General features: G+C 38.6%; 1 protein-coding gene across 61 annotated transcripts in view; it reads right to left on the bottom strand.

The window, feature by feature from the left end:
* EPB41L3 (erythrocyte membrane protein band 4.1 like 3) overlaps window positions 1–25571 on the bottom strand; it is a 238278-nt gene that overhangs the window by 11402 nt on the left and 201305 nt on the right. For 14 of the 61 annotated variants that reach the window (NM_001384704.1, NM_001384701.1, NM_001384703.1 and 11 more), the window contains exons 9-15: window positions 24526–24678; window positions 20475–20572; window positions 19591–19766; window positions 15924–16144; window positions 6779–6832; window positions 3914–3949; window positions 2990–3181 (exon numbers count right to left, since the gene is read on the bottom strand). In NM_001384704.1, coding sequence (NP_001371633.1) covers window positions 2990–3181; window positions 3914–3949; window positions 6779–6832; window positions 15924–16144; window positions 19591–19766; window positions 20475–20572; window positions 24526–24678 — 930 coding nt within the window. Of the gene's footprint in view, window positions 1–2977; window positions 3182–3913; window positions 3950–6778; window positions 6833–12030; window positions 12592–15923; window positions 16145–19590; window positions 19767–20474; window positions 20573–24525; window positions 24679–25571 lie in introns of all 61 variants that reach the window. The other 47 variants (XM_047437384.1, NM_001384683.1, NM_001384699.1 and 44 more) reach the window with 10 other exon arrangements.

Genomic DNA, 25571 nt, shown 5'->3' on the forward strand with positions numbered 1-25571 from the left:
AGTAGGCTTTATTATAAAATAGAGTAATATCAAATTAGTAACTTATTTTAAAAAATATCCCCTCCAAAATAAAAATCGTTTGGTTATATATTTATAAACCAGTATGTTTTCTATGTGCATAACATACAAACAATTAAAAAAAGGATAAAATTATCTTTTGTGCTTTTCACACACAAAAATAACAGAAGCCATGGTTTTAATATAGAAATAGGCAATAATTTAGAGCAAAAGAACTTTCTGGTTTGTTCTGAAGGCTACCTACAGGGCCCTCAATTGGAGTATAAACTTGATGTCATCGATGACTATGAGGTCCTGGAGAAGAGTAGAAGAGAGGACAGGCCACTCTGCCTGGCCCTGCTGCCATGGGGAGCACAGCACCCTGACACCTAAAGAGATCCCTTTTCCCCTGGGACTTGAAGCTCCTTTGAGATGCTTTTCAGGGCTCCTTTGATAAGCAGGGTTAATCAGCCCTGTTTCTAACAAGTTCTCTATATCTAGTCAAGCTCTTTCTGCTATGTCTCCATTCACAGTGTGACGGAGCACTGAGGGACTACAAAACAACCCTGCAGACGCTGAAAGCAGTGAGTATGCCAGCCTTTGCTCTTCTCCAGTTTAAATAACCAAACTGCTTTGCCATTCTGCAGAGGGCATGTTTTTCTTCCTTAATTATGCTGAAAAAATCCTTTCCTGGCGTTCTCCAGTTTTTCTGCACTAACACAGAAAAAGCATTAATATCCAGGGAAAGTTCAGTATATTCAAAGTACTCCTTAAATTATTAACATCCTTGGGCTTATCAAATGTTAATTCTCTAATGTTTAGGGTATTATAAATGTAAAAAAAACATATCTTACTAGTCTAATAGCCTGGACTTATGAAGTTCCCTTGTTTATCAGCACCACCCTTTAAATTCTCTAAGTTGTTCCCTAAACTTTCATTCAAAGTGGCGATCACTTAGCATTTAGTTTTGCTCTGTTTTGTTTTGTTTGGGTTGGCTATTTAGTTTGTGTTTTTGTAACTTAATCCAGTATCTGATATCTTTAGAGCCAGTAAATTATTTCCAAAAGAGGTAGTAGAAATAGGATAAGCCAAACTTAACCAATTACAATAAAATTCATGAGAGCATAACTGAATATTGTAAGGACTATTATATTTAAATCAATCAATGTGAAATTTGTCTCTTGAAACTCAGTAGTTTGAATGGAACTGAAGTGTAATGGTACAAGAATATGGTGGTAGTCGTACTTTTCACTTATTCTGCATAAAAGGGTCCTTTTTAAGTCATTCAAATGGATATAGACCTATTTCTTATTAGCTAGGTTTGGGATTGTCATGAACATAGTGATAATGAGTTCTTGATTACTTTTGATAAACAGCTTTCAAAGGTTTAGAACATGATCAACAATAAGTGTAATTGAATTCTTATTTTTACTGCAAGGACTTAAGCACTGCATATAGACCACTGTTTAAAGAATTTTTCTCTCACCAAAGCCTAAGTTTTAATGTTCCATTCTGTGTCAGCTTCCTGAACAGATATTTCCCCATAAAGTGGTCTTACAGAAAAGGTTAACCAATACAATGCTAAAAAAGATGCAGTTTTCAAAAACTACTTTTGTTGAAACAGAGATAAAGCAACATGATGTCTAACAGTAGACAGTCAAGTTAGCACTACAGTAATTTTTGGTTCCCACACAATGGGAGCCCTGAAGTAACACCAGCTGAATCCTCAGAGTCTTTGGTTGTACATTTAAAAAGAGCTTCCTTGGGAGGCTGAGGTGGTGAATCTTTTGAGGTCAGGAGTTTGAGATCAGCCTGACCAACATGTTGAAATCCCACTTCTATTAAAAATACAAAAAAATTAGCCAAGTGTGGTGGTGCCTGCTTGTAGTCCCAGCTACCCAGGAGGCTGAGGCAGGAGGATCACTTAAACCCAGGAGGCGGAGGTCACACCACTGCACTTCAGCATGGGCGACAGAGAGAAACACCATCTCAAAAACAAACAAACAAACAAACAAAAACAAAAAAAACTATGTCTCAAAAAAAAAAAAAAATCTCTTTAAATGTACAGCCAAAGAGTGTGAAATAACCTTACTTAAAAAAAAAAATTTCTGGCCACTACTTTCCCCATAAAACATCTACTAGGAACCGATTATAAATTTGGCCAGGTGCGATGGCTCACGCCTGTAATCCCAACACTTTGGGAGGCCAAGGTGGGTGGATCACTTAAGACCTGGAGTTTGGTCTTAAGTGGGAAAACTTAAGTGGTCTTAAGCCCGGCCAACATGGCAAAACCCCGTCTCTATTAAAAATACAAAAATTAGCCCGGTGTGGTGAAGGGCATCTATAGTCCCAGCTACTTGGGAGGCCAAGGCAGGAGAATCACTTGAACCTGGGAGGCGGAGGCTACAGTGAGACAAGATCACCCCACTGCACTCCAGCCTGGGTGACACAGCAAGACACTGTCTTAAAAACAAAAAACAAAAAACGTAATATAAATCAATTAAGATAATCAGTTATAAATAAAAATCAAATAAAACTCTTGTTATATCAATAAAAGCCTGGTGTAATATCTCAGAGTAAAATTGTCCTGAAATGCTATCAACTTCAGGTTACCATTTAGTCAAACAATCTCAATGGGCCTCAAGCAAAAGTAGAAAGCATATGCGGAAAAAGTGTCAATGCATGAAGAGAATACCCTGATTTCTCTCAGCTATAAATCTAGGTTTATGGTCAGAATCAGCTGATTTTTCACGATAGTCTCCCTGTGGCTTCCCGCCCTAAGAACCATCTGATGCTATTACTCACTCCTCAGCCACTTTAACCATTTTATTTTGCAGTTTTCTGTTGGAGCACTGAGCATCTCAGCTCAGGTTAAACATAGGTAGGAAGAGAGATTTTCTACCCAGAAGACTGTCAAATGCAATTCCACACCCTGTAGAGAAGGAAGGCGGGTAAACAGAATACGAGTCTGACCACAAACCTGACTACTGACCTCTTCAGGGACAAGTGGTTCGATCATGGGGGCATCCTCCTGCCTGGCGGCCAGTCGCACGGGGGAGGTGGAAAGCCTCTTCTCCCATTCATTCGTTACGGCAGTGTCTGTTGAGGTTTCTAAGAAGGTTCTTTTCAGCTCGCTAATGTTGGTTTGATGTTTCATCAGGTCATCTTGAGTTTTTTCTAGCTCCTATATTCAGAACATAAAGTATCCAACAGTCAATGTTTTACATTTGTGTTCCTTTCAGCTCTTTTGTTTGCTTTAAAAGTAATGTCAATCTTATTAGTAGTCAAAATAAAACAAAATTTTGATCAAGGCTCATGGCACTACCACAAACACTCTGGTGAAAATGTGATTTTCCCATGGAAAGGAAACAGAAAAAAAAATCTAGTTCACACAAACATGGATACCAAAAGAATTTTAGAAGGCAAACTATAAAGAGTACAATTCACATGTATCCTGAGAGAATTAAAATAAATATACACACAGGAAAAGGGATCTATATCTAGGAGCGAATAACAAATCAGAAGCTGAGAAGTCATCCCCACTTATTAATGGATGAGCACACAGTTCATGCATCACAATACGAGCCCACAGGTATTACACTAAAAGAAAAACAACACACACAGACATGCACTGGTATATACCAATACCAACCTCTAACATAAGATTACTATGTTTGACATACACATTTTCACCCTTTATTCGTTTAATCAGACTATTCTGAAAAAAGTGGAGAAGAAAGGGAAAAGTAAAGGACACAGTTGTCAAGGGAACAAATGCCAACCTACACACTGCACCAACAACATGGTAACCAGCTACAGAGCATGCTGAAAGATCTGAACGCTGTAGACAAACAATGACTTATCACACACTGTTGTTTTGTTGTTGTTGTTGTTTGTTTTATTTTTAATTTTCTACCTGTGCCTTGAGCTCTGCATCTTCCTCCTGGTCCGACTGCCAGCATCAAGAAAGAGTGGGAAATAAAGTCTTACATGCAATTTACTCTAAGATTGAAGAACTATGGTCTACATAGACTTGCTAAATGTGGGCACGTGTACGCTCTTGCATATGGATGCCACTTCTTTCTTATACACAAACCACAACATTCTCACACACAATTAGGAAGCTTAATAAGAATATAGGAATATAGGAGTGGAAGAATTCTTGCCTGGTGGGTCTTTGGCATTTTGACCAGCAGACACACGTGGTTGAGAAGGTGACAGCAAGGGTGTGGCAGGTTGTTCTTGATGAACATTAGAAATAGTTCAGGAAGTGGGGGGAGCCAGATTAAAATTAAAATTTGTAAGAATAGCTATGATGACACAATAATGAGAGCTCACATGTAGTGTATGAATCCCGCCCTATGAGGTTAGTGATTATGATTCCCAATTTGTAGACCAGAGAACCCATGCTCAAAGAATATGAAGAATTTTACACAGAGGTTCCCACATTTTAAAGTTTCTTGAGACCTTGATTTTCTTTTCTTTTTTCTTTTTTTTTTTTTTTTTTGAGACAGAGTCTCGCTTTGTTGTCCAGGCTGGAGTGCAATGGCGTGATCTCGGCTCACTGCAACCTCCACCTCCTGGGTTCAAGCAATTCTCCTGCCTCAGCCTCCCAGGTAGCTGGGATTACAGGCGCCTGCCACCATGCCTAGCTAATTTTTTGTATTTTTAGTAGAGACAGGGTTTCACCATGTTCACCAGGCTAGTCTTGAACTCCTGACCTCAAGTGATCTGCCCGCCTCAGCCTCCCAAAGTGCTGGGATTACAGGAGTGAGCCACCACGCCCAGCCAATTTTCTTGAATGTATATAGTTAAAAACAAATTTGGGAGGGGAGAAGACAAATATGGGGCAACTAAGAAAGTTTTTTTTTTTTTTTAAAAGAAGTCAGCTACTATTAACAACAGCATGATTTCTTTTAAAGGTTTTAGATGGGACAATTTTTGAAATTTGAAAAAATACAGTTATCCCAAAGCCACCTCATTCTCCTGATTTTTCTAATTTCAAGGAGTGGTCTAATCCCTGGACTGCTTTCTGAGTATCAGTAATTAGTAAGCAGGCCAAGCCACATGTGCATGTAGCAGCAAAGCTGTGTCTCTCACTATGGCTCTTGGACTCAGGACTGGGGCTTTATGCCCTTGTGCTAGAAGAGGAGACCCAGAATGAAATTCTAGGTGAGAAAAGGATCACACTGAGTCAGGTGCCTTAAGAAAATCATTTAGTCTATCTAGGTCTCCCTCTTCTTATTTGCCAATGGGACAAGACTGCTTACTCTTCATATTCTACACTGACCACTGTTGTGCTGGCCACCTATAGATGGGACAGAGTTTCATCAGTATCACGGGGCAAACAGGAAATTTAAACACAGTGCTAATGTGCTGGTGACACACCCATTCTTCAGTGCATAGGGGGTTCACAGCTCTTCATTTTATTTTTAAGCTTCAAAGCCTACCTATGTTATAGGTACTCCCTTGCATGCTTTAAATGTTACATAATACATTTTAAAACTACTGTAGAAGTTTAAGGTATTATTATTAAAATATTTTTCATTTATAGCACACATTAAGATTCCAATGAAATTTACTGGATGTACTACCCTGTGGCTACATGTAACTAACTCTTATAAAATCAAGGTGTAGCTTTGTTATAGTTGGCAAAGAAAATTACCAACTTGTAATAGATTTATATATGATTGCTTAAAAGAATCTGCATAATAGTTTTAACAATATCATCTTTAATGTTAAAAACTTATGATTTTCAAGCTTTGGATTGAACTCTGGCATTTCTAAAGGAAGAAACCTAATAAAACGCCATCGCAAAAGATTTTTTCTGAAGATATTTTCAATTAAGTGATATACAGATACCACTTACAATATTTTTAGTTTTTTCTAAATACCAAACTAGAAAATATTATTATAATAGGATGATGCAAAAAAAAACATATAAACAACCTAAAATAAACATTATTACAAAGTAAAAACTAAATTCTGCTAGTAAAAAGTAGCCGAATTAACATCAATAAATGTCTTGACTTCCATTAGTACAGATATTATTTTTAAAGATATTTTAACTACTTAATGGTAGAGAAGATTTGAAAAACAATATAAGCCACACACACACATTTAATGTGTTTCTTTAACCCTAAAGAAAAAAGGAGAAATAACAGTATATCTTCTATCACTGTTTAATGTGATTATATTTTTTAAAAATAAAGTACTAACAGTAATTTAAAAATTCATTTCTTATGAGTGACCGAGGCTACAGTCAAAGGCTACAAAAATGAGTCAGGTAAGTCTTATTTTAACAATAATTATTTCACCATTGGGGAATTAAAAATATATCTGTATCAAGCCAAAATACTAGTTAATTGTGACCTTCTTCCCATTCATTCTATTATACATCTGTAGCCTCTCATTTGAGATAGAATTTTTTTCTAAAAAAAAAAAAAATGTATTATCAGTCTAGGCAAGTGGTTCTCAAAATATGTCCTAAGATGTGCAGAGTCAATATCGCCTGGGAACTTGTTAGAAATATAAATCCTCAAGTCCACCCCCAGCTCTTCTGAATGAGAAACATGAGGCTGGAATCCTCCAGGTAATTCTGATGTAGGCCAGAGTTTAAGAACCACTGGTCTAGACAACAAAATACATATTTAACTCCAACTGTTAAAGTTAGAACTGATCTCCATTACAACAGCTCATATGTGGAGTTCTTAAACACAGAGCCACCCCACAAGGCATTTTCGGTATGCCACTACCAGCCACTCTCAGCCAAAATACCAACCTCAGTGGCAGTGGTCTCCCCGTCGGCTGCGGTGTCCGTGCGCTCACTGTCAGTCTGTTGACCACAGAAGTGATCAGGTTCCAGGAGGAAGGCAGGGACAGAAAGTAAACCATCTGGTTAAACACGCTCTGGCACAGGTCAGACAGGTCATTTTCTTTCTCTGTGATTTCTCTGTGTCACACTACCTTCTCACAAGAACACAAGTTCAAGCAAAGCAACAGAAGGGCCAGAGCTAGGTGTCATCAACAGAGCCAACTCATAGGAATACCTGAGGCACACTCAGCCTGCAGGAGCTGGGGAGCCACACTGACCTGTCTGGTTCTATGTCTCAGGGAAACCGATTTGTCATCCCCACACCCTTCCTCCAACTTTTAACTAAAAACCTCAAGCAACATCTCCTTAAAATGTTTAATGCAAATAAAATTGATGTTTATATATATTTTATTCTAGTAATATTTCATATTTGAAAGGTAAATGAAAATGTCAATTTACAGAAAAAGCTACTGTAACAGTCACTGGACTTTCAGCCTCTCATTTATACCATTATGATAATTTATATCCATCTAGGGCCATCAGGCTGTCTGCATTACCTGTCAATTATAAAAGGCACATGCCAGTGACTCACAGGCATATATTTTTTATGGGAAAAACATAACTCAATTTTCAAGTAGCGTCGCTAACTAGGTATTTTTTAAGACTAAATGTTATGTTTATTTTGCCCCACCCTCCAATATAAAGAAGTATATTAAAGTATGTATTTGAACATCTTGCTCCAAAAATACCATTCAAATGAAGCAAATAAGAAGAAGAATTGTTAAAACAATAGACAGAGAAAGAGAAAGAGAGAAACATCTACTTAGAAACAAATAAAACAAAGCACAGCATTTGACAGAGCCTAGGTTTTGAGGAGAATGAGAACAGTAATTTCAGGACTGGTTTTTAATCTGTTTCACAGGGGTTTATGGCTTAAAAACTGTTTTCTCTCGAGTAGAGTAGAGCTGTGGACATCTAAATGCCCTAATATTAACTGACTTTCCCTCCACAGATATCAACTAATCATTAATAAAGTTCCCTTGATCAAATATCTGTGATTAATATTTTGAAAACAAAAATGAAAATGGGAGGCGAGTCTATGATGGTGAATCTGGTTCTTAAAATAACCTCCCACTACAAAGAACAAGAAATGTCAGGAAGGGGCAACTGGGACAGTGTTGTTTCCACTGACAAAACTAAACTCTGGCTATGCTGATTTCTTGGCACTAGCCACATGTTTCATGTTACGTACTCCTAAAAGAAAGGGAGGCTGAACACATGCTCAGCACATGTACCTGAGGACACCATTCTGGCACCCTTGCTACCAAGTCTAAGTGGAAAATAATTTTCTGTAGGTTGGTAAGGAAAGCGTGTTGACCCATTTTCATGACCTGACCGGCTTGGTTAACAACTGGGGGCAGGAGGTGGCTGTTAATTTTCATATAAAGGTGATTGTTGTTATGGGATTAGTATGGCTGTACCGAGTGACAGCCCTGGGAAAGGCCAGTTTGAATTAGTAAGAGAGACCAGTTATTTGTTCAGGTGTACAGAATAACTCAAAGATCTTAGGCTTTCAAGAATAAATAAGAATGACTTGCACTTAGTGTTTTATTTTTTTAGACAGGGTCTCGCTCTGTCACCCTGGCTGGAGCACAGTAGCACAATCTTGGCTCACTGCAACCTCCGCCTCCTGGGTTCAAGTGATTCTCACACCTCAGCCTCCCTAGTGGGACTAGGGAGGACTCCCTATAGTCCTAGCTGGGACTATAGGTGCATGCCACCATGCCTGGCTAATTTTTGTACTTTTAGTAGAGGCAGGGTTTCACCATGTTGGCCAGGCTGGTCTCAAACTCCTGACCTCAAGTGATCCGCCTGCCTCGGCCCCCTAAAGTATTGGGATTACAGGGGTAAGCCACCGCGCGCCCAGCTCGAATGACTTGCATTTAGTGTTCTAATTAGCTGTGTCAAACACTTCTAAAATTTTTGAAAGTGCTTCTCCTCCTATTTAGCTTATTTCCCTTGTGGTTTTAAAATTTACTTCAGTAACTTGCAAGCATTTTAGCATTAGGGGACAGTGGTCGTTAAGAGGGAAAGGTTTAACGTCAGATGAACATGAGCTCAAATCCTTTCTGTTCAAACCTGTGGCACATTGGGCACTTTTCATATTTTAATCTCAGTTTCCTTCCCATAAAATGGGGAAAATAACAGCCCTAACTGTATTGGGTAATGGATAGTAAGTGCTCTATATAATGCCTGACACACTCAGAGCTAAAAAAAAAAAAAAAAAATGCCTATAACAATTATATTATATAATTATTCCTATTTTTCTCAGCCATACACAAATAGCATAGTCCACATATAAAATTTCTTGAATTCCTACTTAGCATTTAGTCAGTCAGTCAGTAGTATAGTGCCTGATCAAGAGTCAATAAATGAATAAGGCTGAATAAAACAGTTTTTATAGCAACTGGTATTTCTATAATGTATGATGACTACATAAAACTGCAAATATATAACATATCATAAACTATCATATAATACTGTTTATGTAATTTAAAATGTTATAAATCAGTTAATTTTTCTTCCTCTTTATTTGAACTTATCTCTATTTTTCTTTGTATTATCAAAAAATTACTCAGAAATACACATGTAATTGCATTTTATGGTTTGGGGAGGTAAGTTCATCTCATGTTTCTTGATAGGATATTTTGATATCCTGCCCCTTATTTGACCATTCTGAAAGTACAAAAGAAAAAACATGACTGGTCAACAGCTTTATAATGTGAAATATTGAAGCCTTTTTATACTGGATTTCACTCTTAGAAAGGCTGGAAATAAGCCACCATAACATGTTAAAAAAGTAAGCAATGATGATACAATATTTAAAAAGAATTAATTAGTAGTGACTTGGCAAAACGAAAGTGACAAGGCTGAATTGTATGTTAAGAAGTCACTCAGTGTAGCTGCCACAGTGCTTGAGGCCTAGAGATTAAATCAGGCCATGTAAGCAAATGGCAATTTAAATAAAACAGACCAGAATGACCTCAATATGAGTTCTCTAGCTCAGCCTGAACTAGAATGCACAGCTCTTAACACTTCAAGAGACAACACTGAACAGATGGCTAGTTACAGAGTCTGATGGCAGGAGAGCTATCATATAGGCTGACTAGGGCTGCGGAGAAGGGTGATGAAGACTCCAGTGGTCAGTGCTAATTCATGGTTTTGGAGGTTTGCAATAACAAGGACAGTTATGACTGGGAAGCTCCAATCACACGTTCGCTAGCTTGTAACAATTAACTGCTGTGATTTGTTTTGCCAATGTAATGCAGACATGCCCAAGTTTAACATTAATTCTCATGCACTGATTACAACAAGATGTATACCCTGGATTAGGCACAAGATCTGTGTGGTTTGCTATATAAAAGTTGAAATATTTATTTTGAATTTAGAAAAGCATAAAACAGCAATCTTTTCTGCCTTATGTTAGCTTGATGACTAACTCGACTGTTAAAGGAAAAATATATCTCCATGTTAGAAATCAGCTAATAAATAATAACATTGTATTTGTAGACAATATTGTGTTCTTAACTGTAATATGTTCTAGTCCAACACTATTTGATAATATTGCCAATATGAGAAATAGTGATATTAAAGCCTAGGATTTCAAGTAGTTCTCAAAATATTTTCCATGTATAAAAAGTTATTTATATATCAGTTGGAGCAAATCGTTATATATAACTCAAGAACCTTGAAAATGTCTCTTATGCAAAATCTATTAAAAGTGTAGACTTTTACTTAAAACACCTGTGAGACCATTCACATTTTTTTCCTTCTGCTGCAAAGAAATGGTCATAATTCCACTAAATATAGATACTCGCACACCCTCAACATATAATACTATATACTCACAGGTGCAGCTCAAATTATGACTTTCTAGCTGAGCACAGATTTAGACTTTCTTTCCTTTTTTAGCATTGCCTTGACTTTGTGACTTTAAAAAAAAATGCTAAGCGTATTTTGCTTTTTTCCTATCACAACAGCTCTTGTTCTGTGGGAACAGGAGGGCTGCAGGGAGCCTGGGGAGAGGAGTGGGGAGGGGCGCGCATGACAGCAGCCAGGGCCTCTGGTGGCAGCTTCTATTATTCTTCCCTGCACTCTATTTGAAGCCTGGAGAAAGAGAAACTGCTGGGCTGTTCACTGGGCTGTGTGGCAGTGGGAAAGGAGAACAATTAACAGGAAAAACTACTGGCTACCATGTCAGCTCGCCCAATTGCTCGAGTCGGGGACAGGAGCCTGCCCTGCAGCAGCATGCCTTCAAGGATGGAGGCTGATAGTTCAGGGTCTTTCGCCCACTATGTCCATGTCTGGCTGGCAGCCATAGAGGCCCAGCCTCAGCACACTGTGAAAATGGGGGGATTTTGAGACTCATACTGCAGTTGAAAGAATCGCTGTCATATTATCTGCATTGGCATTGCTAGCATGGTGAAATTTCAGCCTGCCTTTACATTGTTTGAAAACTTCAATTTAGTCCTTTTCTGATTGTGTCTGAACACTGCTGCACTGCATGCCGTTGCTTCTGGGCTTGTTTCTGCCCTTACCAATGGCTGATGTCATGTGGGTGCTTTAAACTGCTCTGACACAATACAATGCGGGATCTGATTGACTGACCTCTCTGTGAGTAACAATGACTGTCTGGCAATGATGAGCAGAGGGTGGTGGGGACATTTCAGGATCTCCAGGGAGGAGATACCTTTGCAACTTTAGAAAGCTACCCAGGTGATGATGATACATCCCCTCCGGGGATGCACTCTTCCACCTCTCCTTGACTGTCATTTAAGTTGAAAACTACTCATCATCTGTCTTATATGTGATTTACCTTATTAAACCATAACTGATCAGAACCTTTAGCTTAGCCCTGATCTTTTACACAGCTGACGGGTTATATAAAATTGACTTCTGGCTGAGTCTTTCATCCCACGTAGAACTCAGTGGGTAGCAGAACGATTCCGGGTTGGGCTCAGACTGCTACATCCACATGGTGTTGTGCCTAACCCTGGGGCCCAGGTTGGACTCCCCAACACACAGAAACCTCAACATATTGGCACAGACAATAAATGAGGCTCTGAAAGTAGGACCACTATGGCAGCAGCCAGCTAACACTGTTTCGGACTCAAGCACGGAACACGAAGGGGAAGCGTGTTCTATGCCGAGGTACACACCTCTTCCTCTGAACTGTCACTCGGGTCATTGTCTAGGGAGGCGCTCAAGGAGGCCGCCTTGGGCTCCAGGTAGCAGAGGCACAGAGCCAGAGGGAAGGAGAGAGTGAGAGCGTATGGCACTGAGAAGGAGGCAGACAGCAGAAAGAAAAAGATGAAGAGGAAACAGGGCACAAGGGACGGTGAGCGGATCGGGAGGTAATGCTGCAAGCTCTGGGGCAGGAGGTTGGTTTCAGAAAGGTTGGGGAAAGAGAGGTATCCATCATCATCTAGGAGGGAGGGGAATGACTCAGGGAGCTGCAAGGAGAAGGAGAACAGGGTGGTCCCCTTGCCAGTTTGCTGTCTGTAGCTAAAAGCCACATCTTGATCCCCTAGGTAAGGCCTCCCTGGGCCATCAGAGTCCAAGGCGGGCTCTCCAGGCAGGTGCTCAGCTCTGGACGGCTCATAACCTGGCAGTTTGCAGTCATTCTCCTTACACCTCCTACGGAGCTCTGTGGGAGATGTGGGGGCACAATGGGTGGATGGGGGTGACAAGGGACATGAGTCAGTGCCAAGCCCAGGTGACTGATGTGAAAGAGACAGAAAGAGACAGAAAGCAGCAAACAGAGGTGCAAAAGGACAAAAAGAAAACTGCAATTAGTTAATTTTCTTATGGGTATCAATATAAAATTGTAAAACAAAAATTTTAGCACTAGGGTTGCTCATGAATGTTAAAGTATTCAAGCTGCATGCCACTGTTGCCACGAACGGCTACATTTCTCCCATGAGACTATCACATACAGGTGGAATTCTTTAAAAACTCAGAACAGAAGGTATTTGTGGGCAATCCCAAAGTCTACACATTTCACATGGTCAAAAAATTTCCCTTTAGACTAACAACTCTAGAAAGTTTCAGGTTTTGGGGAGCAAACATAAGTAAATCTGATAACTTAACATGAAGACTTTCAATAGCCTTCTCCTGATTTCCAGGTAGCAGAGCTGTTACTATAGTTCAGCTAGATTAAAAATGAAGATGAAATCCAATCCAGATTTTGATTAAAAAAAAAAAACCAATCTCTAGCATTAGTCCTTTCCCTGGTTATTCAATTACATCCAAAACAAGGAGTTTACATTCCAAATCAAGAAGTTTCTGGCCCCACTCCTATCTGATAAGTAGTTACAATCAGGGATTCGACAGTTAGCATTTCTGAATATCTCACTCCTCAGAAAAGAACTGAAGTTCCCTTGAAAGCTCTATTTTGGCTCCTTTATTTAGGATATTAGTGGAACTTCAACTGAAGTGATTTCAACAAGCTAACTAGCAAAAACAATGTGTTTTCTTGTAACATGCTTTGCCAGTATTTACTTTCTATTATTTATGATGCATAATAACAGAAAGATATAATTTCCCAGCCTTCTGATTTTTCTTAGCAGATAAAGGGCATATTTAGATCTTTGGTTTGAGTCCTTAATATAATGATAAAAGCAGGGTTTTCCACAGGTGCTCCCCTGGTGAGCTCAAGCTTTTATGGGGCAAGTGAATCTGCTTCTCCTCCTCTCTGGGTCCTGGAAGTCTCCACGACCAGGGCCAGTTTCCTCTGCAGGTGGCGGAGGGGTTGCTGGACAAGAAGGGGAGGAAGGAAAGCACGCAAGCCCCAAGCAGGACCTGGGCAGGTACAGCAGCTGCTGCAGGCCGGGAAATCCAAGCCTGAAAGTAATTAGACTTCTGCTGATGTCTGTGTCACTGCGTGTGTGTATGTGTGTGTTTTGCCCAGTGGCCTGACAGCATGGAAATTACCCAGCCTGCCTTGTGTGGTTATGCAATCCTGACTTGGGGAGAAGTGGTAAATATAGCGACAGAAAGAAAATGCACAAATAAAGTTACATCTGAGGCATGAGGGAAAGAAAATGCACAAATAAAATCGTAGCTCTTCGGCCTTTGAAGGGTCTCTTTTTACGATGAGAGAAGTATGTCTTTTCCCACACATTTGCATTTGACATTAAAGACGGCACTTTAAACAGGAACCTGCACAAATCTCATTCAACTAAGAATAATGTAGCTGCTACACATTAACTTCTGCATGAAGACAACTGTCCTCCAGCATGGAGGTGAGGCAGCCCCATGACCCAGGGGATCCCAGCCTGGGAAACGTGCCTCCTTCCCAGGCAACCTAGGGGACCAGCCTTTCAAGAACTATTTTCAGTAATACACTTTCATTTTGGTTGAAAAGTAAGTACCCTCTGCGTTACTTTTTGAAGAAGGAGAAGGATAAAATTAAGGTTTAACCTTCCATGCTGATTATTAAAGTCATTTCTAGAAGACAGCTTTGCACTGGGGAAACCAAGCCAGCCCACACCTATATGAGCACCAGATTTCAGCTACAGACTTCCTGAAGACATTCTGCCCAGAGTGCTGGCTTCTCAGAGACTCAGGCTATGAGGCTGGTAGTGTCCTTTGTCTTTTCCCACATCACAAATGGCACCAAGTGAGGACAGCTTAGTGCTACGTTTTATATAAACAAACTGGTGGTCTTTTAAAAGCAAATAAAGTGAAAATGTCCGGCCTTATCTTGGGAGCAAAACTAAAAATCACTTACATTGATGTGTCACTTCTTCAATACTTATACATCCATGGGAATCTTATGTTGGCATGGCGAGTTTATAAAATGTTAGAATAACTAAGAAGAAGAACCACATATTTGTTTTTTGGGTGGATTATATTCTTTTCTGTCCCCTTTAAAGCCTTCCTTGACTGAACAGACAGGAAGAGTGTAAAAACAAAATTTAGAACAAAGCACATTTTAACAGCAAAAGTTATCGAAATATCCCTGCCATTATTTCCTACTCTCTGCTTAATTTTGTGTTTGCCAAATAAATAATCTTATCCCAAAAAATAAAAGATGATGGATTGGGCCATTTGTAATATTTTAGCATAACTACAAAAATTATTTGTCTATGTTAAGATGTCACTGCTAAATTCTCATCAAAAGGAACACTTTCCATAGAATTCGGGGTAGTGATTCTCCATCTCTATTTGAAGAGCCCATGTACAAAAGATCACTCGTGAATCAAATTTACTCAAATTTTAGGATAACCCATGGGTTATTATGAGCATTTTCATTCTGCTATTTCCTCTTACTCTATGCTCTGTACAGGCCAGGAGCCACTCTGTTTTTCCCTTATTATTAGGTATAAGCCTCCTGAAGGGTTTTTTGACTTTTAAATTATTTTTCTGAAAAGTTGCTTTGTAGTGCTGGATCACCAGAAAAAAACATAGTGTTTAAAAATGGTGTTAAAAAAGATATTTAATTTGGGGTGAAACAATGTTACAAAGTTTAATGAATTCAACACTGAAAGAAGAAGCTGCTGCCAAATTCCCTTTTTATCTCCTGTTGCAACTTTCTGCCTTAAGATCCCTTTTCAAAACATGGCCAGTCACTACTCTGCTGATTAGGCGTAAGTATAAATATGTAGGCTGTGGTCACTCCATGTACTTACAGTCAGAAGAATGGCAATATGATAATTGTATATCTAGAAAAATATGCTGTACTTGGGTAGGAGAATGGGGCCAGAAACAAAGAAAACAGCTTTAGTGACAGTTCTGAAATGTGAGCCCAAACAGAAAAGTGTAATACGCCACCAAAAGTATTTTTAAGATACACATACAGGACAGCTATTGAAAGTCTTACATAGCACACAAGTTATTAAAATAAAAATTTTCAAAGAGCTATGAATGAACCTTTCAGAGAAAAAATGTTGAAACAGCAATCATAATTTAAAAATTGACATATGAATGTGACCAGTGCTGACATATGATTTATCCTAAATCTGAGCACATTCCTGGTTTACAGCCTCAGCATCATTTAGTCATTCTTAAAAGCTGGAGCAAGCTCTTGCAGGCAGTCTGGGAGCTATACCTTTCCCTCGTGCCGGATGGCCGAGATGGGCGTGACTTCTTCCCCCTTCCTCCGTTTGTCCTCTTCCTCGTCCCGCTCCTCCTCAGCCTTCTTCTCCGGAGTCACAGTGGTGATCAAGTTGGTCTGAGAGATGCCTTTTGTTGTGGCGTACTGGCCAGTACCAACCTCTGCAGCAGACATAGAATCCTTCATGTATATTTCATGGTTTTCATTCACTGATGCTAAAAGCAAATACAATTAAAGAAATAAAATCCAAAATAGTTAGGTCAGAAGACACATGAACAATACCAACTATATCTTTACTGAAAAAAAAAATACCAACACAAAATACCAGGTTTGCCTTGAAAAAACAAATCAGTGCTGCAGGGACCTTCATGAGAGCATGACCTTCCTGTATTTCCTATATGAGTGCTTTAAAATTCGTGAAATGCTCATGTCTTGGAATTTCATCTATCCTCAGACTCTCTGCTGAGGATGTGTGTAAGTGTGGAGGTGAGTGGAGGGTCATGAGGCGAGGCTGCCGCTGGGCATATTATCACCATTGGCTGGCACTGGCACCAGTCTCGTAGTGGCCAATTCCACACCTAACAGCAGTCTTTGCAGTACACAATTGCTCTAATACACTTGGCTCTTTGGAAGTGCCATTCACCAAGGAGCACTGAATTGGTTTTCATATTATTATTATTAATGTTGAAAAGTCTATCACTCTTACAGTATAAAAGCTCCATGGGTAATAACAAATATTAACCATCTTGGTAGAGATTATAAAAATCAGATGGCAATTCCATTCACCTAAAGTACAGAAATGTTTTCATTTCTACTGCATTTTAAACAGACTACCATAATATGCATATACATTTACTCATCTCTAATATTTTGGGAAAACACAATGAATGTTGCTAAATGAAATTCATGCAAATGCAAAACATGCAAACTCAAGAGAATAAGACAGAGCCTTTCATCCCAGCTAAAACGTCTTAGTGAAAAGATGCTTAATTAAGTTTTAAAAGTTGGTACTCATTATTTTAGGTTTTAGATATAAAATTTATTAAAACTTATAAATGTTGCTTTTCAAATACACAGTAACTAATCACAGACAAAATATCTACATTATTATTTTAGGAATTTAAAAACGTAAATAAAAGAAAGGATTCTGAAATGAAATCCTCTCTGAAATGCTTTCGATAGCTAAACTATGTCACTAAAATATCTTCACTAAGACATTTTATATCTCTTTACACCGTTGAAAAAGCTCATATGAGACACAACTTCCTAATGGACCAGTTAGGCCATTCTCTGTGAGATGCAACCTTGCAAAAAAGCAGTTTATGTTGCAACATGCAGCTGTGCCACCCAGCTCAACAGCAGCAGAAAACATACTAGAGCTGGCAGGACCGCAAGGAGTGAGAGACAACACATACTAACATCACTTTTGGGCAGGGAGAAAGAGACAGCATGACATTAGTACACTGATTTCACAATTGTCTTCTGTCTTCTCAGCAGTCATTATCACACTAAAGGTCATAAGGAAAACAACATTCACAACAAATGTGTTCCCTGGGGTGCACGTCACTGAACAAAGTGGATGATATTCAGGAAAAAAAAAGTGCGATTCTACAAAGTTCCTCAAATACTGATAACATATAGAAATAGGTAATAGAGACACTCTAAAGGAGAAACAAGAGTCAATAGGATAAACCAGAAAGAAAAGCTTCAATGTTAACATCGATATTTCAATATCTTAATTCAGCTCGAAACAGTCCTGGTAATTATTTTATTCAAAAGGGCTGGCTCTAAGTTCGGTATTCTGGAAACTCTTAGAAGACACACAATGGCAATTAACTTCCTAGGCTAGCTCACAAAAGCCTGTAAGAATAATTATGAATATAAAATGTGGTATATATACATCATGGAATACTACTCAGTCATAAAAATGAATGAAATCATGTATTTTGAAGTGACTTGGATGGAGCTGAAGGTCATTATTCTACATGAAGTAACTGAGGAATGAAAAGCCAAATACCATACGTTCTCATGTATAAGTGGGAGCTAAGCTATGGGTATGCAAAGGCACAGAGTAATATAATGGACACTGGAGACTCAGAAGGCAGACAGTGGCGGGGGTGGTGGTGACGGATAAAAAACTACATATTGGGTACAATGTGCACTACTCAGGTGACAGGTGCACTAAAATCTCAGACTTCACTACTATACAATTCAGCCATGTGGCCAAAAACCGACTGCTTGTATCTCAAAAGCTACTGAAATTTTAAAAAAATGTGAAAAAAGAGTAATTATCAATATGATTATTGAGATAATTACCTATGTAACAAGAGTGCTTTCACATATATCTTGCTTTTCACAACAGCCCCGTCAAAGGCGGCCTTATTCCTATTATACAGATGACTAAAACAGACCTGGAGAGCTGAAATCATTTGTCAACCACCGCAGAGACAGAGGGCAGCAGAGCCTGGACTTCAATCTGGATTTACCCATGCCACAAGAGTACAGTTTCCACCTCGCTAGTAACATACATAATATAGCACTAATAATGCCATTTTGATTTCTTCTATAAACTGTTCATAAAGTATTCCATTAGAAAAAGACAGTTGTTTTTAGTTGGGAGATTCAAGGAGCACCTCTCCCCATCAATCACCCGGCTAGTGAAATGGGGAAGGCAGAGCTGAGACTCTCAGGGGAACAGTGGCAAAAAAGGTAGGAAAGGAGATGGTACCATGCACTTGTAACTTTTGTTTATTTTTATTTATGTTTTTCCTTATTATTTAAACCATACTTGCATACCAGAAACTCCTAATTCTTTTTATTTGCACAGGATAAGATCTTCTATTAAAAACAACAAATCTCCAGGTGCTCCAAATGAGAAGACAGAGACCTAGACATGATTCAGTTCCAGAGTATTGTTACAGCGGGCACGCCTTGCAGCAGAAAGTGTACCTCCATATTACTTCAGAGAGCAATCAAGAAACTGTTCGATAAAACAAAACCCTACTAAAAATTCACTGTTGTGTTATCCCCTAAAAAGGTAGTTTGAATGATCATCTCTCCATTTGACTAATTTAACTTGGCAGTACAGAACCCCTACCTAGCACTGTTCTCCCAGTCCATCTGGGGTAGTAATTAGCACAACTAGGAGAATTTAACTTACAACCCTGTGCTCTGTTATTTGAATGTCATCCTTTCTACCAGCTATTATCAACTGACTGATAAAGGTCACACTTTATTCATAAAGATTTTTTAGAAACAGAAATAAATTTAACTTATAGATTTATAAAACAAATGGTCTTAAACCTACCAATCCTTTAAGACCTGTTGGCAAGAGAATCAAATCACAGAGTATGTGACTACTATATTTAGAATGAGAGCATCTTTCTCCAAATTCAGGGTGTCAGCTTATGAAAGCTATTTTCTTCATTCCCGAAGTGCCATTCTTTTATGTAATTTTACATAAACCTGCAGATGTTAGACTGACAAAGGGACTTTCATTTCGCTGGGGGAGACTTAAAAATGTGCCATTCAGTCAATAAGCAACAACTGCTTTTCAACATACAATATCCAGGAATATCTATACTTACTGAAAGCTCATGACAGTTTCACATTCTTTTTGGGGTAGGTACTAGGTTATTAAGGGCCAGTAAGCGATGCCTACCTCCATCCAAGCTGCGAGACATGGTATAACGTTTGCTGGATGAGCGTTCAAAGTAAGGTGCTGGGCGATCTATCAACGCACTGGCTCTTCTCGTTTGCGCTTGTGTCCTGCCACTATAACGAAACTTGGAACCCAAGGTTAGGAATTTCTTGGGAGGTGCTTCTGGTAACAGTAGTCTAAAGAGAATAAAGAAAAACAGCAGAAAGACTATTAAGTCCAATATTGAGAGTGCTTTTTAAACTTTTTACTCTGAGAGGTCATGTGTTTTGCATGCTAAACATTTAACGCACAACTTGCAGTTAAATAAATCTGATTTCATAAAAGAATGCATATAGTATATATCAACTAGGGATATTGTAGAGAGGATATATGCAAATGAGGGTTGTACTGAACTAGATGAATTTTTAACATTCCACGCAAAGTGGACAGTCTATGGTTCTATAAGCCCAAACAGCTACTAAATAGTTTGATATTAGTGAAGAAGAAGAGTGACAATTTGGTGTTGGGTGCCTAATTTGATGGGTCTCGTACCATGCATAGGTAGGTAAAGGGATTCAGGGTATTGAGAAATCACTGAAATAGTAAGGAATTGAAATAGTAAGGAATGGATTGGATATTTGAAGTGGACACCCTAAAAATAATGTAAACACACTAAAGATACTAAAGAAGGGGGGTTTGGGACATGTAAGTACATGACAAATTAGGGAAAATCCTTCAAATTTAGTCTTTTTCTAGTTCTCTTAGGATTTCTTATCAAGAAATATGGTGACAATGAACTTGAAGGGATAGAAAGAATAAAATTCCATATTTTTTATTGACAATCTTTTTCAGTATAAGTGATTATAATTATTCCTTAGGGAAAAAACAAAATAATCTCTTCCTACCTGAAAAATGTATGATGCTCAACACATACTTTCCATAAACGCTTGGCAGCTCGATGGTTTGGCAGCTTAAACCCAATGGTGCTTTCAAATTGTTCAAACTAAATAAAAAAAAATACATTGAAGAGTAAAGTTTAAAATTATAAATAACAGAAGCCCTGTAAATAAATTACAGAATCATGATGCCACCAGAATTTTAAAAATTTACTTACTAGATCAATTGCTATATGCATAATTCATGCTATACAGATTCATTTGTTAATTTCAAAAATGTGTCTTTAAAATGCTGCAGGTATAAATAGCCACTTTATGCATACAGTAAAATGTCTTCTGAATAAGTGTGTATCTTATGATACAACTGAAAACCAAACACGAAAAGGGGTTTTTTTGATTTCTTCCAGAAATCAATTTGCCCTGATATCACTTTTAAACTTTTATTTTCATGGTTTCTCAATGACACAATGACTTCAACTGCAAGGTACAGAAATGAACAAAATGTTTACAAATATAGTCTACAGCATTCTTAGAAATGAGACTTTTCTCCTAATACCTGGGCAGGAAATATGTGTATTTCTTAGGTAGTTGATAACTTGGTGTCAGAGATTGCTGATTTTATTTGTGTGTTCCGCTATGGATTATCGTGTTAAATGCTAACGTCTCTCTATATCATACGTAAGATCAGAGATTGGGGGAACATATTTTCATATTTTTCAGCATGTACACTTCAGATGATGCCTTATCAGCCATTTGATTTTTCGAGGTGAAATACTCATCTCATTTCCTGCATAATATACTTTATTACTGCAGATGCACAGGTTTTCACATTCTGAAGAAGGTACACATCAGACCACCAGAGGGCAATCATCTTAAACAGTAAAGGCTTCCCCAAAGAGCACACAATGGGTACTACTGCTATAATCAATAGCAAAAATCATTTATATGGCAAAGAACCGAGGTGAGGGGTCATATGCATGGCATGTGAGATACAATCATGTTTGACCTCTATTTCTTGTTTGTTGAGGATGATTAGGGGAAGTGGGAAACACATCACAAATGCTTCAACCGCAATTGCCTTTCCCAACTTCTTATTCACTCTGGATGTTCATGTGCAGTGGTGTTTGTAAAAATCACTACTGTCTAAGGGACTCAGCCAAGACAGACATAGTGTGGCTTGTGACTAAATCATCATCCATTTATTCATCCTGCAACTAATATGCACATATTACGCCAATGCCAGGGGTTATATGGAAGAGTCAGCTTGCACTCTGCTGCAAGAAGCTGGGAAGAGTCTCTGCCAACCTCTGTAGGCAAGGATGATGCAGGCTCCTAGACTACCTGAATAGGTATTAATAGTTTATTAATATCTATTTCTCTGTGTTTTATATCAATTTCTTTCAACTTCTTCAGAGTCTGTGTGTCTCCAATTTCTTCTCACTCACTTTTCTCAGGCTGTAAATAGGATTGTAAAAGCAGAGAGAAGAGGAGTGAAAAACCAGCTCTCTCTGAGCCTGCTTATGCCAGCACCACAACCCCATCTCACTCCTCACTGCTAAACTTTAGGAAGCAGAAGCCACGACCTGCTGCCTCTGCTACCTACTCCTGACCTCAACACACCTGGCAGGTGCTCCTGTTGCCCTTCTGAACTCTGAAATGTCATCATGGGGCCTGACTGTTAAGTTCAACACACTTTTGTTAGTCCACATCCTGCGTGCCCTTTCTGTAACATATGATACTGCTAGCTAACCACTTTCCTCTGAAACTCATCTCCTGGTCATCCATCAGCCTGTTTCTTCTTTTATTTCTCTGGCTGTCATTTCTTCAGCTCCTTGGCCCTTTCTCAAATAGTGGTATTATCCAGAGTTCTAGTTTTGGGCCTTTTCTTTCTCTAACTTGCCTTGCTCTTTGAGTAATTTATTCCATGTCTAAGGCCTTGAATAAAATATATACAGTTGATAACTCTGTTCAACTCCTTCCTATGCAAGAGTTACTCCCTGAAAATCTGTTTCAAAGGGATTTCAGTTGTTTTTCTGAAATTTTCCCCCTTTTCCCTCCTGCCGAATGTCATCTCCATTGGCTTCAATCATGCAAACTGAAAACCTTTGATTATCCTGGACTTTTCCCTCTTTTAATTACTTCCTCTATCCTGTCTCTACGACCTGCTGCTTCTGCCTCTGAAACCTCTCTCTTGCATTTGTTCCCTCCCGTCTATTCCCACAGCCTCTGCCCTAGTTTAGGTCTTATCACATCATGTTTCTAAGTCGTTGAATTTCATTAAGAAATGTATCATTCCAAAATATTCACCTAGTTGTGTCACATCCTGATTTAAAACCTCCCATGACTTACTAGTTGTCCACTGATTCATTTCTCTAGCTCTCCCCTCTGGCATCTCACAATACTATGCTCACTCCATGTCTACAGAATATCATCTCATTTGCATCATGCTGTTACAATCAAAGTATATGAGTCCGTTTTTCTGCTAAATAGAAAATCCCTTAACAAGGAACAAGGTCATATTTGTCTTTAGATTTCTAATGTCTGACAATAAATAGGTGCTCACTTAACAAATGTTCAATGAAGTCAAATGACTATCTATTGGCTATAAGTTTAATATACAATCTTTAGGAAATATTTTTAAAACACTATAATTTTAGTTATTTACATGAAAAGCTTACAGATTATTTCAGTTATCATAGATAGGTATGATGTTATGTTCATACTAAACATCATTACATGCTTTATGTTTCAATTTTTTTGTTATTTTTGAGACAGGGTCTTTGCTCTGTCACCCAGGCTGGGGTACAGTGGTGTGATCAAACTCACTGCAGCCTTAAATCCTTGGGCCCAGGTGATTCTCCCACCCTTGGCCTCCCAAAGTTCTGGGATTACAGGCATGAGACACCATGCCCAGCCGATATTCTGATTTTTTAAATTGCATTTTCCACCAAGAAACTCCAGTAGAGAAGTAGATTTTGAAGATAAGAGATAATTCTATATCATATCAGAAAATGTTCAGAGATATAAGTATGCTAGAATCTTTGAGCTTTGACTGCCTCTGTTATACTAACCATACCAATTAGAAATTTGAGGTATTTATTAACTATCTCTTAAGTAAATAAGAGTAGATATGTGTTACTATTATGTACAAACCACTAAGGAAGATATAAACGTAAGTTGATCATGGAGGCTGTTGTCCAAGGAGTAAGGACTAGTTAACAATTCTGATTGTCTCATTAGCTTCTCTGACTTAAAACAAACAAACAAACAAACAAACATATATTGAGCTATAGAACATTGATATAATTCACACTAATTGTCCTTTGTTCTAATATTCCTTGTACCTTGAAGTACAGGACCTCTAAACTGTTCACTTTAAAGTACAACCAGATTTGCAGGACAAACAGAAAGAGCATGGAGAAATAACAACAGCATGTGGAGGAAGAGATTTATCCATTACTGCTTGAAATATACACAAAATTATTAATGATACTGGAATTTTTTTTTTTTTGAGACGGAGTCTCGCTCTGTTGCTCAGGCTGGAGTGCAGTGGCACGATCTCGGCTCACTGCAAGCTCCGCCCCCTGGGTTCACGCCATTCTCCTGCCTCAGCCTCCCGAGTAGCTGGGAATATAGGCACCTGCCACTACGCCCGGCTAATTTTTTGTATATTTAGTAGAGATGGCATTTCACCGTGTTAGCCAGGATGGTCTCGATCTCCTGACCTTGTGATCCACGCCCCCACCCCGCCCCCGGCCTCCCAAAGTGCTGGGATTATAGGCGTGAGCCACCGCACCCGGCCGAGACTGGATTTTATATTAAAATATGTTTTTAAAAACCCTCCAATTAACGTATGCAGTAGGAAATATTGGAACAATATAATAAAGAAGAGAATATTTATTACTGTTTATTGGGCAAACCTACAATAAACTCTCTCAGGCACTTAGATGTCATTCACTGTGTCCCACAATGCTCAGAACTCATAAGCAGATAATTTAAATGCTTGCTTGCTATCAGGGATCTTTCCTCCCAACGCACAGGCAAATGTGGGTATACTTACCTCTCCCGGCCGGATCTTAATGTAAAAGTTGTTCCGTTTGTATGAAATCTTTAGAACCTTGGGCCAGGCAAATCTGTTTATTCGCAGCCGGTCGCGATATATCAACAGACCACTTGCACAAACTCCTAACATAATTTCTACCCCTTCTGAGTCCTGGAAAATAAAAGCAAGAAACAACAGATCAGTATCTAACTTATTTCCATTTTCTGCTGGGTAAAGTATTTAAGCATCCACGACAGAAACTATAAATGGCTGGTTTACTTATGCAAAATGATGCAGCCATTTTTAAAACATTACCATTAAACATTAGCCTTTTGGTGAAGATGTTTATCACTATGGAGAGGTTTGTTAGAATAAAATCTGCTCTCCCAGGTGTCTCAGACTTACAAAGTAAATACTGCACACCAAGAGGGCCCAGCTCATGAAGGTATGTTAATAACGGTAATAATAGTAGCCACAGTTCTCACTTGTCAATTGCCAGGCACTGCTCTGCTTTACATATATTAACTCTTTTAATATTCACTGTAATTGAGATGGTCACTATTATTATTCCCATTTTACAGATGAGAAAATAGGTACAGAGTTCCAGCTGAACACAGCCTGGTTCCAGAGGCAGCACTCTTAACCAACACGTATGCTAACAAGATGGACCCTGTCTTTTCCTATGAGGGTTTTGGTTGTTGTTCCTTTAAAAAGAGCCCCGATATTTTTTATATACCATTATTGTCAGAGTAAAATTTAAATACGAAATAGTTTTTTTAAAAGTATGAATGAATAAAAAAATGTAAGAATGTATTTTCCCCAACAACCGCCCTTCCCTCCACACAAACACACTGCCCAGTGGTAATCACACTTAGCAATATGGCTCACATATATAAATATAAATACTTTTTAAATATGTGTATAGTTTTTTTTTTAAGAAACAAACCTGAGATCATCCTAGAACTGCAATTTCCTTTTGCTACTTGCACATTTCATGTTTAGGTAATTTCCTATGGATGTGTGATGTCCAGAGGTCATCAGAGACGTTGTATCAAGCTTAGGAG

This window comes from Homo sapiens, chromosome 18 (assembly GCF_000001405.40).
Source record: "Homo sapiens chromosome 18, GRCh38.p14 Primary Assembly".
NCBI lineage: Eukaryota > Metazoa > Chordata > Mammalia > Primates > Hominidae > Homo > Homo sapiens.